Source organism: Homo sapiens, chromosome 1 (assembly GCF_000001405.40).
Source record: "Homo sapiens chromosome 1, GRCh38.p14 Primary Assembly".
Taxonomy (NCBI): domain Eukaryota; kingdom Metazoa; phylum Chordata; class Mammalia; order Primates; family Hominidae; genus Homo; species Homo sapiens.
Window position 1 is genome coordinate 21,017,426 of NC_000001.11, and position 13,742 is coordinate 21,031,167.

Genomic DNA, 13,742 nt, shown 5'->3' on the forward strand with positions numbered 1-13,742 from the left:
AGACCATCCTGGCCAACATGGCAAAACTCCGTCTCTACTAAAAATGCAAAAAATTAGCTGGGCGTGGTGGCGGGCACCTGTAGTTCCAGCTACTCGGGAGGCTGAGGCAGGAGAATGGCGTGAACCCAGGAGGTGGAGCTTGCAGTGAGCCAAGATCGTGCCACTGCACTCCAGCCTGGATGACAGAGCAAGACTCCGTCTCAAAAAAAAAAAAAAAAAAAAAAAAAAAGAAGTTTAGTGTCCTTAATCCAAATGCTCCAAAATCTGTAAATTTGTGAGAGTTGGCATGAAACAAAAAAATTTAAAAAGCTCATTGGAGCACTTGAGATTTTCAGACTAGGAATGCTGAACCTGTAAATAATGTAATTCTCCAAAATTCAGAAAAATCTGAAATCCAAAACTCTTCTGGTCCCAAGCATTCTGGATAAGGGACACTAGATCTGTATTTAATGGACAAAAAGTTTCAGTTTTGCAAGATGAAAAGAGGTATGAAGATACACAGTGTTGACAATTACATATTTTTTTTTCCTTGAGACAAGGTCTCACTCTGTTACCCAGGCTGGAGTGCAGTGGCATAACCATAGCTCACCACAGCCTTGATCTCCCAGGCTCAAGCGATCCTCCCACCTCTGCCTCCCAAGTAGTTGTGACTACAGGCATGTGCCACCATGCCCAGTAATTAAAAAAAAAAAAAATCTTTTATAGAGACACATTCTTGCTATGTCACCCAGGCTGGTCTCAAATTCCTGGGCTCAATCAATGCCCCTGTACTGACATCCCTAAATACTGGGATTACAGGTATGGGCCAATGTGCCCAGTCAAATGTAAATGTTCTTAATGCCACGGAACTATAAACTTAAAAATGGTTAAGGTGAGCCGGGCACAGTGGCTCATGCTTGTAATCCTAGCCCTTTGGGAGGCCGAGGCGGGCGGATCACAAGGTCAGTAGTTCAAGACCAGCCTGGCCAACACAGTCTCTACTAAAAATACAGGGCATGGTGGTGGATGCCTGTAATCCCAGCTACTCGGGAGGTTGAGGCAGGAGAATCGCTTGAACCCAGGAGGTGGAGGTTGCAGTGAGCTGAGATCACGCCACTGCACTCCAGCCTGGGCAACAGAGCTAGACTCCTTCTCTTAAAAAAAAAAAAAAATTAAGGTGGTACTATGGTTGAATACTGACCCCTCCAAATCTCATATTGAAATGTGACCCCCAATGTTGGAGCTGGAGTCTAATGGGAAGTGTTTGGATTAAGGGAGTTGATCTCTCATGAATGAGTTGCTGCCATCCTTGCTGGAGTGAGTTCTCACTTAGTTCCCTTAAGAACTGGTTATTTAGAAGAGCCTGTCACCTGGTTCTCTCATCATGTGATCTCTGAACACACCTCCCCCTCACCTTTTGCCATGAGTAGAAGCTTCCTGAGGCCCTTATCTGAAGCAGGTGTTGGTCTGGCAATATGCTTCTTGTATAGCCTACAGAACCATGAGACTAATAAAGCTCTTTTTTTTTTTTTACCCCCAAATAATCCAGACTTAGGTATTCCTTTATAGCAAATGATCTCAGAAAGATGGTAAATTTTGTGTATTTTACCACAACTGAAAAAAAGTTTTTTTAAGAGAACAGGTCTCACTCTGTTGCCCAGGGTGGAGTACAGTGGCACAATCATAGCTCACTGCAGCCTAGAACTCCTGGGTTTAAGTGATCTTCCCCTGCCTCAGCCTCACAAGTAGCTGGGACTAGAGGCACGAGTCACCACATCCAGATAAAAACACTTTTAAAGTAGTCAAAACAACAATATTACTCTAGCACAAAAGCTTGATATCAAACAAGTTTGTTTCAAGAGCACTTATTCAATTTCACTAATTGGTTGTCAGACGAATACATATTTGCACGTATATTTGTAAATGCTTGCTTGTTTCTTGTTGAATTGTAAACAATACTTGACAAAGTAGAGCTGTTTAAACAATGAAAACTTGATATGGTAGTATATTCCACATGAAACTCATAAATGGTAGACAGCTATATAAAACCATCCAACACAGATCTTAAAATCAACATTTAATAGTCTGCACAAAACATGATGCCTTTTTTATGTTTCAGTGAATGAAAAATAAAAATTTTTATCTTTTATTATCGAGGGAGAGTAAGAAAGTCCCAAACAGAATACATATTTTCTCATCTCATAGAGCAAGAGAAGTTATTTAAAAACAACATGCCATGGGAGGCCAAGGCAGACGGATCACAAGGTCAAGAGATCGAGACCATCCTGACCAACATGGTGAAACCCTGTCTCTACTAAAAATACAAAAAATTAGCTGGGCGTGGTGGCACATGCCTGTAGTCCCAGCAACTAGGGAGGCTGAGGCAGGAGAATCGCTTGAACCCAGGAGGCAGAGCTTGCAGTGAGCCGAGACTGCACCACTGCACTCCAGCCTGGCAACAGAGCAAGACGCCGTCTCAAAACAAAACAAAACAAAACAAAATGCCCCCATGAACATAATCAAGAAACACTATAAATAATTAAATAAAACAAGAAAATAATTCCTCTACTACAGGAAAACATTGGCTCTTCATGTCAATGAGGGTTCTGTTACTATTGCAACTGCCAATCTGAAAGGAATTGAGGAACCACTTTTTCCTTCTTCAAATCTAACATCATCCCATGTGGAATAGTTGCGTCCACTTAACAACATTTTCTTACTTATTCTTTGCAACGTGCCAAAACACTATGCTGAACTCAGGCTTTGAGGCCCAGACAACCATCAGAAATGACCAATTTGCGGGGCCAGGCACAGTGATCATATCTGTAATCTTAGCACTTTGGGAGGCGGAGGTGAGAAGATTGCTTGAGCTTAAAAGTTCAAGACCAGCCTGGGTAACACAGCAAGACTCCGTCTCTACAAAAAAAATTTAAAAATTACCCAGGCATGGTGGTGCATGCCTGTGGTCTGAGCTACTTGCAAGGCTGAGGTGGAAGAACTGCTTCAGCCTAGGAGGAGGAGGTTGCAGTGAGCCAAGATCATGTCACTGCACTCCAGCCTGGGCAACAGAGTGAGACCCTGTCTCAAAAATAAATAAATAAATAAATGAATAAATAAAGAAGAATACCATTTATCTGTTGGGATAAGGGCAGGTATGGGACCATGTATAGCCAGCGCGATTACTGGAATACATTTCAAACGATGTCCAAGTCAGGTCCTATTTACATGCAGTGAATCAGAAGATACATACTTTAATTTTCCATTCTAGGTTAATACAGAATATCTAATAACTATACCAACTAAAACATTTTAAAATATAAATCCCATTAAATATTCAAACAATGGTATAATATTGTAAATAAAAACAAGTCCTGTGATTTTTACTGAAACATGGAGTGAAATAAAAGAGTGTAAGCTTAATGCAGAAACTTTTAAAATCAATTATAGAAAGGGTACGTATTTCCTACTTTATATATAGCATCAACCACTGGGTAGTTCTACTGACTATTAGATTGATCACACATTCCCACTACATAAAGCATTATTGTAAAAAGAATGCTGGCATTTATTTCTTATTTATGTATTTATTTTAATTTTGAGACAGAGTCTCCCTCTATCAGCCAGGCTGGAGTGCAGTGGTGAGACCTTTGTTCACGGCAACCTTCACCTCTCAGGTTCAAGCCATCCTCATACTTCAGCCTCCCGAATACCTGGGACTATGGGTATGCACCACCACCCCCAGTTAATTTTTGAATTTTTAGTAGACACAGTGTTTTGCCATGTTGGCCAGATTGGTCTCAAACTCCTGGCCTCAAGTGATCCGCCCACCTCAGCCCCCCAAAGTGCTGGGATTATAGTCATAAACCACTGTGCCCAGCCTATTTCTTCTTAGTGACTCTAGCTTCCCTTTCCCTTTTGAAATAATCTCTGATTAAAGTTTACATGCTACAAATGCTGCACCTCTGAGAGCAAGAATACTCAAATGTCAAAAAGAATAAACCATAACAACTCACAATTTCTCAGACAATGAGCAGATTATGATTATTATGTAAGCTCAGGCTTCCAAGTGCTCTCTCCTTCAAAGCCAAGCATGTAACAGGTATACAGCATAACAGTAACCATACTCTGACATACTTAAGATTCTTTCTTTCTTTTTTTTTCTTTATGTGGAGACAGAGTCTTGCTCTGTCATCCAGGCTGGAGTGCAGGGGTGCAATCTCGGCTCACTGCAACCTCTGCCTCCTGGGTTCAAGCGATTCTCCTACCTCAGCCTTCCAAGTAGCTGGGACTACAGGCGCGCAGCACAATGCCTGGCTAATTTTTGTATTTTTAGTAGAGACAGGATTTCACCATGTTGGGCAGGCTGGTCTCGAACTCCTGAACTCAGGTGATCCACTTGCCTCAGCCTCCCAAAGTGCTGGGATTACAGCCATGAACCACCGTGCCCGGCTCTGACATATTTAAGACTCAATTACAGTACATGGTAGGCACAAACCTTCAGTACAAGATGAATAAATCAAGAAAATCAAAGTAAAACTATTGCTACTATAATTTAATATTAACATAAAATCCAGCAAATACGTAAATTTCTATTTCAAAACAACATTTGCTATAGCCTCACAAAAAGGTTCCTATATGAAAATTTTGGTGCAAAAATACCTCAACGATGGCACTAAGCACCGAAAATGCATATCTGTCCAAAGTATAATCTAAAATGGTACAGAATTATTTTATGGATAATTTAAAGGCTATCTTCTTTTGCTACCTTTCATTTAAATACCAAAGATTGCACCTTAACAATGTAAGAAATGAAATAGTACTGGCTGACTATATATCCAGTTATTTATAAGGGAAAGCACTCAATGATGGGTGTCCATTATGATTTTTCTATCTGATTATGCTAAATGTAGTACAAAAACCCCACAAGTTATTTTTAGGTCATCACTGAGTTGGTTAAATAAACATTATGTCTGCCTGTGTAATGTGACTCCCGTAGTACTTACTCTGTCGAGAATAAACAGACATCATGCACACTGAATCATATGAGACAGGTTCAGAAAACAGCTGAGTCACCGACCATTAGCCCTTTACTTCCTGTTCACAGTAACACAGTGGAAATTTCTACCTCACCACAACATCAGGCTTCTTTTCCCATTCCCACTAATAAGTTATACTTTCCCTCAATAACACCAACCAGTTTGTGTTAAAGCTCAATTTAGACATCACATAGTTCTATTATGTTCTAATATTCCCAACCCACACACCAAGTTCCTGACAATACAAAAACAAAGACAAGTAACATTAGGAGGTTAATTAGGTTGGCATGCGTCATCACAATTAAGCTAGGTCTATTTGGAAAAAACCAAGTCTCTCCAGTTGACCTACAGGTGGAAGTATTACAGTATCACCTCACTGTCCATGTAGCTTGTACTTTTTTGATATGGCCAACAGATCCCCTAGGTTTTCTTTCTAAAGCTTCCCTGAATTACATGGTAAATGTTCTTTTACTATGAATAACAAGCTTTAAAGCAAAATCACTTTCAGTTTTCTTTCCTTCGAGGATGCTAATTAGTAGTACCCTCAGTTAAAAACATTAGGCACGCAAAAACTTTTACTCACATTAGAATGAAAAAAACTCTCAAACTATACTTGACTTCAGATGTAGCAATCTAACAAGTTTGTGAGTTTTTCTTTTTTGTTTGCAGTAGCAATTCTAAGTCATGGAAATCAAGTTGAAAAAGACACGATTCCTATGCACAGGGATTTACAATTTACCTAACAACAGTAAAAATGACATAGAAAGTGGTGTAAGGGCTCTCCCTCTCCCTCCCCCTCCCCTCCCCCTCCCCCCCTCCCCCTCCCTCTCCCTCTCCCCACGGTCTCCCTCTCTTTCCACGTCTCCCTCTCATGCGGAGCCAAAGCTGGACTGTACTGCTGCCATCTCGGCTCACTGCAACCTCCCTGCCTGATTCTCCTGCCTCAGCCTGCCGAGTGCCTGCGATTGCAGGCACGCGCCGCCATGCCTGACTGGTTTTGGTGGAGACAGGGTTTCGCTGTGTTGGCCGGGCCAGTCTCCAGCCCCTAACCGCGAGTGATCCGCCAGCCTCGGCCTCCCGAGGTGCCGGGATGGCAGACGGAGTCTTGTTCACTCAGTGCTCAATGGTGCCCAGGCTGGAGTGCAGTGGCGTGATCTCGGCTCGCTACAACCTACACCTCCCAGCCGTCTGCCTTGGCCTCCCAAAGTGCCGAGATTGCAGCCTCTGCCCAGCCGCCACCCCGTCTGGGAAGTGAGGAGTGTCTCTGCCTGGCCGCCCATCGTCTGGGATGTGAGGAGCCCCTCTGCCTGGCTGCCCAGTCTGGAAAGTGAGGAGCGTCTCCGCCCGGCCGCCATCCCATCTAGGAAGTGAGGAGCGCCTCTTCCCGGCCGCCATCACATCTACGAAGTGAGGAGCGTCTCTGCCCGGCCGCCCATCGTCTGAGATGTGGGGAGCGCCTCTGCCCCGCCGCCCCATCTGGGATGTGAGGAGCGCCTCTGCCCGGCCACGACCCCATCTGGGAGGTGAGGAGCGTCTCTGCCCGGCCGCCCAGTCTGAGAAGTGAGGAGACCCTCTGCCTGGCAACCACCCCGTCTGAGAAGTGAGGAGACCCTCCGCCCGGCAGCTGCCCCGTCTGAGAAGTGAGGAGCCTCTCCGCCCAGCAGCCACCCCATCTGGGAAGTGAGGAGCGTCTCCGCCCGGCAGTCACCCCGTCCGGGAGGGAGGTGGGGGGGGGTCAGCCCCCCGCCCGGCCAGCCGCCCCATCCGGGAGGGAGGTGGGGGTTCAGCCCCCCGCCCGGCCAGCCGCCCCGTCCGGGAGGTGAGGGGCGCCTCTGCCCGGCCGCCCCTACTGGGAAGTGAAGAGCCCCTCTGCCCGGCCAGCCGCCCCGACCGTGAGGGAGGTGGGGGGGTCAGCCCCCTGCCCAGCCAGCCACCCCGTCTGGGAGGTGTGCCCAACAGCTCATTGAGAATGGGCCAGGATGACAATGGCGGCTTTGTGGAATAGAAAGGGGGGAAAGGTGGGGAAAAGATTGAGAAATCGGATGGTTGCCGTGTCTGTGTAGAAAGAAGTAGACATGGGAGACTTTTCATTTTGTTCTGCACTAAGAAAAATTCTTCTCCCTTGGGATCCTGTTGATCTGTGACCTTACCCCCAACCCTGTGCTCTCTGAAACATGTGCTGTGTCCACTCAGGGTTAAATGGATTAAGGGCGGTGCAAGATGTGCTTTGTTAAACAGATGCCTGAAGGCAGCATGCTCGTTAAGAGTCATCACCAATCCCTAATCTCAAGTAATCAGGGACACAAACACTGCAGAAGGCCGCAGGGTCCTCTGCCTAGGAAAACCAGAGACCTTTGTTCACTTGTTTATCTGCTGACCTTCCCTCCACTATTGTCCCATGACCCTGCCAAATCCCCCTCTGTGAGAAACACCCAATAATTATCAATAAAAAAATAAATTTAAAAAAAAAAAAAGAAAGTGGTGTAAGGAGTATGAATAATATATCAAGAAGTACAGAGCAGAATGTGATTAATTCTTCCTGGGAGAAGAGTTCCAGGGAGCCTCCAAAGGTGGCAGATCAACAGTGATAGATGGTGAGCTTGCAGTCAGCCATAAAAAGCAGAGGAGATCATGTGTAGGCAAAACAAGGAATATTTTAAACAGAAGCACAAAGACCTGAAAAACTAGGGCACGTCTGCTGAACCATAAACACGTCAGTAATGCCAGAGAATAGAAGTGCATGAGGTAGAGTGAGAGGAGGTGACATCAGAGGATTAGATTAGGGCCAGACTAAAAAGACGGGTCAAGTAAGGACTTCGCCATGAAGGTAATCCTAGGAGATGTTGAACAGGGCAGAAATATCATCCAATTTGTTTAAAAAAGAGAGCCATTACAACAATATGAACTCTTAGTGAAGATACTGGTGTCAAGATATCAAACAGGGATCTATTCCGACAGCCCAGGTACATAGTGATAAGGGCCTGATAACAGCAGTGGATCTCGACAGAAAAAAAAAAGGCAGATTTGGGAGTTAATTCATATATTATAGAAACAGCAGGATTTTCTGAGCACCTAAATATAAGGGGAAGAAAGCTGCTTCTCCAAGGTTTGAGGATTAGATGGTGAAGAATGCTTACAGAACCCAAAATGATTGGGTCCCAGGCTATCATTGACTTCACTTCACATACCATTACTGTCCAGCCATACTGGCCTTATTTTATTCTCTCAAATATATCAACTTTTTTTTCTCTCAAGGCTTCTGCAATAGTTGTTTTCTCTGCTTTGAATAAAAAAGTGATGAATTCATTTATATTATGGAGAGTTTTAATGTCAAAGAGATCTCTAGGTACAAAAGTCTACAGAGTAATTAGGCATGAAGAGAGCAGAGTCAACCCAGAATGAACTAAGAATCAGCAAACATAACCAACAGTCCTTGCCATGAGAGTGGATGAGATAACCTAAAAACCCAATAACAAAAAATTATCCCCTGTTCATGAACTGGAAGATTTAATATTGTTAATATACCAATACAACCCAAAGTGACTTACAGATTCAATGCAATCTCTATCAAAATCCCAATGGTGTGTTCTACAAAAACAGAAAAACTCCCCATCCTGATATTCATATGTATTCTCAAGGAAGTCTGGATAGCCAAAACAATAGCTGAAAAGAAAAAAGCTGGAGGCCTCACAATTCCAGATTTCAAAATTACAAATCTGCAAAAATGAAAAGTGCAGTACTGGTGTAAAAATAAACCAAAAGTAATTAGAAATGGGAAAAAATGGCCCAGAAATAAACCCACAAATATATGTTCAAACGATTTTTGAAAAGGGTACCAAAACCATTCAATGGGGAAAGGACATTTTCAACAAATGGTTCTGGGAGAAATTAGATATACATATGCAAAAGAATGAAGTTAGACCCTCACTTAACACCAAATACAAAAATTAAGTCAAAATAGATTAAGACCAAAATGTAAGAGCTAAAAGTAAAAAAATCTGAGAAGAAATCAGAGAGAAAACGCTCTGAAACACTGGATTTGGCAATGACTTCTTAGATACAATACCAAAGGCAGAAGCAAAAAAAAAAAAAAGTAGACAACTTGGGCATATTAACAATTTAAAATTTTTGTGCATCGAAAGATATTACACCAAGAGAGTCAAGAGGCAACCTACAGAAGAAGAGAAAATATTTGTAAACTGTACACCTGTTAAAAAGTTAATATCCTGGGCTGGGCACCATGGCCTGTTTGTAATCCCAGCACTTTGGGAGGCCAAGGTGGGGAAATCACTTGAGGCCAGGAGTTCGAGACCAACCTGACCATCATGGCAAAACCCTGTCTCTACTAAAAATACAAAAATGAGCCAGGAATGGCAATCCCAGATACTCAGGTGGCTGAGGCACGATAATCATTTAAACCCAGGAGGCGGAGGTTGCAGTGAGCTGAGATCGCACCACTGCACTCCAGCCTGCGTGACAGAGGGAGACACTGTCTCAAAAAAAAAAAAAAAAAAAGTTAATATCCTGAATATATAGAACTCCTAAAACTCAATCACAAAAAAGCAAACAATCAGATTCAGAAATGGGCAAAGGACACGAATAGACATTTCTATTAAAAAGACATACACAAATGGCCAACAAGCCCATGAAAATATGCTAATCCTAAGGAAATACAAATCAATACTATATTGGTATATATCACCTCCTCACACCAAGATGGCTAGTATATATATGTGTACATACACACATACAATTTTTTTTTTTTTTTTTGAGACAGAGTCTCGCTCTGTCGCCCAGGCTGGAGTGCAGTGGCAAGATCTCAGCTCCCTGCAACCTCCACCTCCCGGGTTCAAGTGATTCTCCTGCCTCAGCTTCCCAAGTAGCTGAGACTACAGGTGCGTGCCACCATGCTCAGCACAGTGGCTCGTGCCTGTAATCCCAGCACTTTGGTAGGCCAAGGCATGCAGATCACAAGGTCAGGAGTTCGAGACCATCCTGGCTAACCCAGTGAAAGCCTGTGTCTACTAAAAATACAAAAAATTAGCCGGGCATGGTGGCACGGGCCTGTAGTCCCAGATACTTGGGAGGCTGAGGCAGGAGAATCGCTTGAACTCAGGAGGCAGAGGTTGCAGTGAGCCGAGATCGCCCCACTGCACTTCAACTTGGGCAACACAGCAAGACTCCATCTCAAAAAAAAGGAAAAGTGTTGTAAAAGATGTGGAGAAAGTGGAACTCTTGCACACTGTTGGTAGGAATGTAAAATAGGTACAGCCATTGTGGAAAACAGTATGGCATTTTCACAAAAAATAGGAATAACCATACAGTTCTGCAATTCCACTTCCAAGTATCCACTCTAAATAAATGAAAACGAGGTCTTAAGGGAGTTCTTTGTACATCCACATTCATATCACTATTATTCATAACTGGTAAAACATGAAAGCCAACCAAGTATGCATCAGCAAATGAATAGATAAGCACAATATGGTACCATAGATAAAGTGAAACATTAGCCTTAAAAAGAAAGGGAATTCTGACATATCCTACAAAATGGATGGAACTTGAGGACAATATGCTAAGTGAAATAAGCCAGGCACAAACAACTACTGTATGATAACAGTTATATGATGTAGTTAAAGAATAGCCAAAGCCACAGACAGACAGGAGAATGGCTGTTGCCAGGGTGCAAAGGGAGGGGTCAAAGGGAAGTTATTGTTTAATGGGTATAGACTTTCAGTTTTACAAGATGAAAGAAAAGAGTTATAAAGATGGATCGTGTGATCACTGCATATTATCAATGTATACTTAAAATGTACACTTAAAAATGGGGTTAAGATTTTAAACTTTGTGCTATTTGCATTTTAACACAATTTTTTAAATTGGGAAAAAAAAGAGAAAGGTTCAGAGATAATAAAGTAAGTTGCCCAAGGTCACACATGATGGCTAATTCAAAATGTAAACCTCAAAATGCAGACACCAGTGAAATTATAAAACAAATATCTACTTATACAAAACTCAGGATAATTGTTACCACTAGGGAGAAAGAGGCAGCTGAGATAAAGGAGGAATACAGAGTGGCTTCAAAGATATTGATAATCGACTTAAGGTGAGTGGTGGTTGGTTGTGTTATGATTATCCTTTCAAACCAAACACGTTACAATATACTTTTATAAGCTTAAACATGTCATAATAAATTGTAAAACACAGGTGTTTCAACAAACAGTAAGCAGCAGAATTAGACAAGGTGAAGCAGAGCTACTCATGATACATAACTTCACAAGCTATATACAGTGTATGGCCTGTCGAGCTGTTGGTGACCAACCTAGTACTGAAGTAAGCACAGTTCAGGATATGACTGAAAGTCAATTAGTGATTACTAAAAAGATTATCAAGCAGCTAAGTTGTAGCTATATTATACCTAAATAGAGTTTAGACCAGCTGTATTAATAAATCATTAATTTTTTGTTTGAGATACAGTCTTGCTGTTGCCCAAGCGGGAGTTCATGATCACAGCTCATCGTAACCTCTCACTCCTGGATGCCGCAAGTGAATCTCCAGCCTCAGCTTCCCAAAGTGCTGGAATTACTGGCTTGAGCCAATGCGCCTGGCCCAAACAAAGTCTCGCTCTGGGGTACAGTGGCGTGATCCCGGCTCACTGCAACCTCCACCCCCTAGGTCCAAGCGATTCTCATGCCTCAGCCTCCCGAGTAGCTGAAACCACAGGTGCACACAACCACACCCAGCTAATGTTTTATATTTTTTAGTAGAGACAAGGTTTCACCACTTTGGCTAGGCTGGTCTTGAACTCCTGGCCTCACGTGATCCGCCTGCCTCAGCCTCCCAAAGTGCTGGAATTACAGGCATGAGCCACCATGCCTGGCCCCAATCATAAAGTTTTAATTAGACTCCACGAACACAGGTAATGGAATTTCCAAAGCAGAGCCATCCATCCTGGGAGCAAGAACAGAGGAAAAGACCTGCTGAGTTAGATTCAGGGACGAGAACTGGGAAGAAAGAGAAATTGAGTCGGGGGGGGGAAGGGAACTAGTGGGCCAGGTGCAGTGGCTCACGCCTGTAATCCTAACACTTTGGGAGGCCAAGGCAGAAGGATCACTTGAAGCCAGGAGTTTGAGACAAGCCTGCACAACATAGCAAGACCTCATCACTACAAAATAAACCATTAGTTTGATTTTTTTAAAACAAAGAGAACTAGTGGTTTTATAAAAATAAAGTTATAGTAGTTAGTGATAGGATCAAGGGTAAATAAGAGAAAGTGAAGGCAGAAAGGGGCTGCCATCTTGAGAAAAGAAATGGATTAAAGAATTAAAAGGTTGTAGGCTGTGAAATAGGTATAACAGGACTGGCATGGGATAGGAAAAAGGAACAAAGACTATGGTCAGAAAAATGTTATTTATTTATTATTTTATTTTTTATTCTTGAGACAGGGTCTCACTTTGTTGCCAGGCTGGAGCACAGTGGCACAATCATGCTGCAGTGAGCCATGAACTCCTGGGCTCAGGGGATCCTCCTACCTCAGCCTCCCAAGTAGCTGAGACTACAGGTGTAAAACACCATGCCCAACTAATTTTTAAAAATTTTTTGTGGAGACAGGGTCTTGCTTTGCTGGACCAGATGTTTGAGGCCCAGGATGGCCTCAAACTCCTCGCTTCAAGTGATCATCCTGCCTCAACCTCCCAAAGTGCTGGAATTACAGGTATGAGCCACTGGGCTGGTTGGAGAAATTTTAGACTTCAAGAATTCAAAGGCAGAGCAGTTCTCAGCTGATATGGTTTGGCTCTGTGTCTCCACCCAAATCTCATCTTGTAAGCTCCCATAATTCCCATGTGTTATGGGGGGAACCCAGTGAGAGATGACTGAATTATGGAGGCAGGTCTTTTCCTGTGCTGTTCTCTTGATAGTGAATGGGTGTCACGTGATCTGATGGTTTTAGAAATGGGAGTTGCCCTACACAAGCTCCCTTTTTGCCTGCTGCCATCCATGTAAGATGTGACTTGCTCTCCCTTGCCTTCTGCCATGATTGTGAGGCCTCCCCAGCCATGTGGAGCCCAAGTCCAACAAACCTCTTTCTTTTGTAAATTGCCCAGTGTCAAGTATATCTTTACCAGCACCCTGAAAATGGACTAATACATCAGTAGAGACCAGGTCCAGGCCAGTGCTCGTAACAAAAATATAAAAAATACAATACAAACCACACAAGTAAGTAATTTAAAATTTTCTAGGTCACCAGATTAGAAAAACTTAAAACTGGTGAAATTAATTTTGTGTTTTACACTTACAAAACATCTCAATTTGCAGAAACTATGTTTCAAGTGCTCAAAAGCCACAGTGGCTCTAATAGCGACCACATTGGACAGTGCAGATCTAGACTGTGTCCATATAGATTGCTGAATATGTGTCTATATACAGTTGCTATTGGGAGGCAAAGAATGGGAAGAAAAAAGGATCAGCCGGGTGTGGTGGCTCATGCCTGTAATCCCAGCAATTTGGGAGGCTGAAGTGGGTGGATCACTTGAGGTCAGGAGTTCAAGATCAGCCTGGCCAACATGGTGAAACTCCACCCCTACTAAAAATACAAAAATTAGCCAGGCAGCGTGGCACATGCCTGTAATCCCAGCTATTTGGGTGGCTGAGGCAGGAGAATCACTTGAACCCAGGAGGTGTGGGCCGCAGTGAGCCAAGATCACACCACTGCACTCCAGCCTGTGCAGC

General features: G+C 43.2%; 1 protein-coding gene across 64 annotated transcripts in view, besides 3 other annotated features; it reads right to left on the reverse strand.

Annotated features, from left to right (window-relative positions):
• Positions 1-13,742, reverse strand: part of EIF4G3 (eukaryotic translation initiation factor 4 gamma 3) — a 370,606-nt gene that overhangs the window by 211,134 nt on the left and 145,730 nt on the right. The window lies entirely within an intron of this gene.
• Positions 4,975-5,119: an enhancer, noted in NCBI's record as "145 bp enhancer 38 fragment used in the MPRA reporter construct; PK_construct_3869". NCBI's record gives its function as "activates an SV40 promoter by MPRA in HepG2 and K562 cells {active_cell/tissue: HepG2 | K562}" and the evidence as "EXISTENCE:reporter gene assay evidence [ECO:0000049][PMID:23512712]".
• Positions 5,042-5,052: a transcriptional cis regulatory region, noted in NCBI's record as "NFE2L2 motif; enhancer activity is reduced when this motif is scrambled". NCBI's record gives its function as "necessary for full MPRA enhancer 38 activity {active_cell/tissue: HepG2 | K562}" and the evidence as "EXISTENCE:site-directed mutagenesis evidence [ECO:0005528][PMID:23512712]".
• Positions 5,191-5,485: a silencer, noted in NCBI's record as "tiled region #2723; HepG2 Repressive DNase matched - State 5:Enh". NCBI's record gives its function as "represses a minimal TATA promoter and a strong SV40 promoter by Sharpr-MPRA in HepG2 cells {active_cell/tissue: HepG2}" and the evidence as "EXISTENCE:reporter gene assay evidence [ECO:0000049][PMID:27701403]".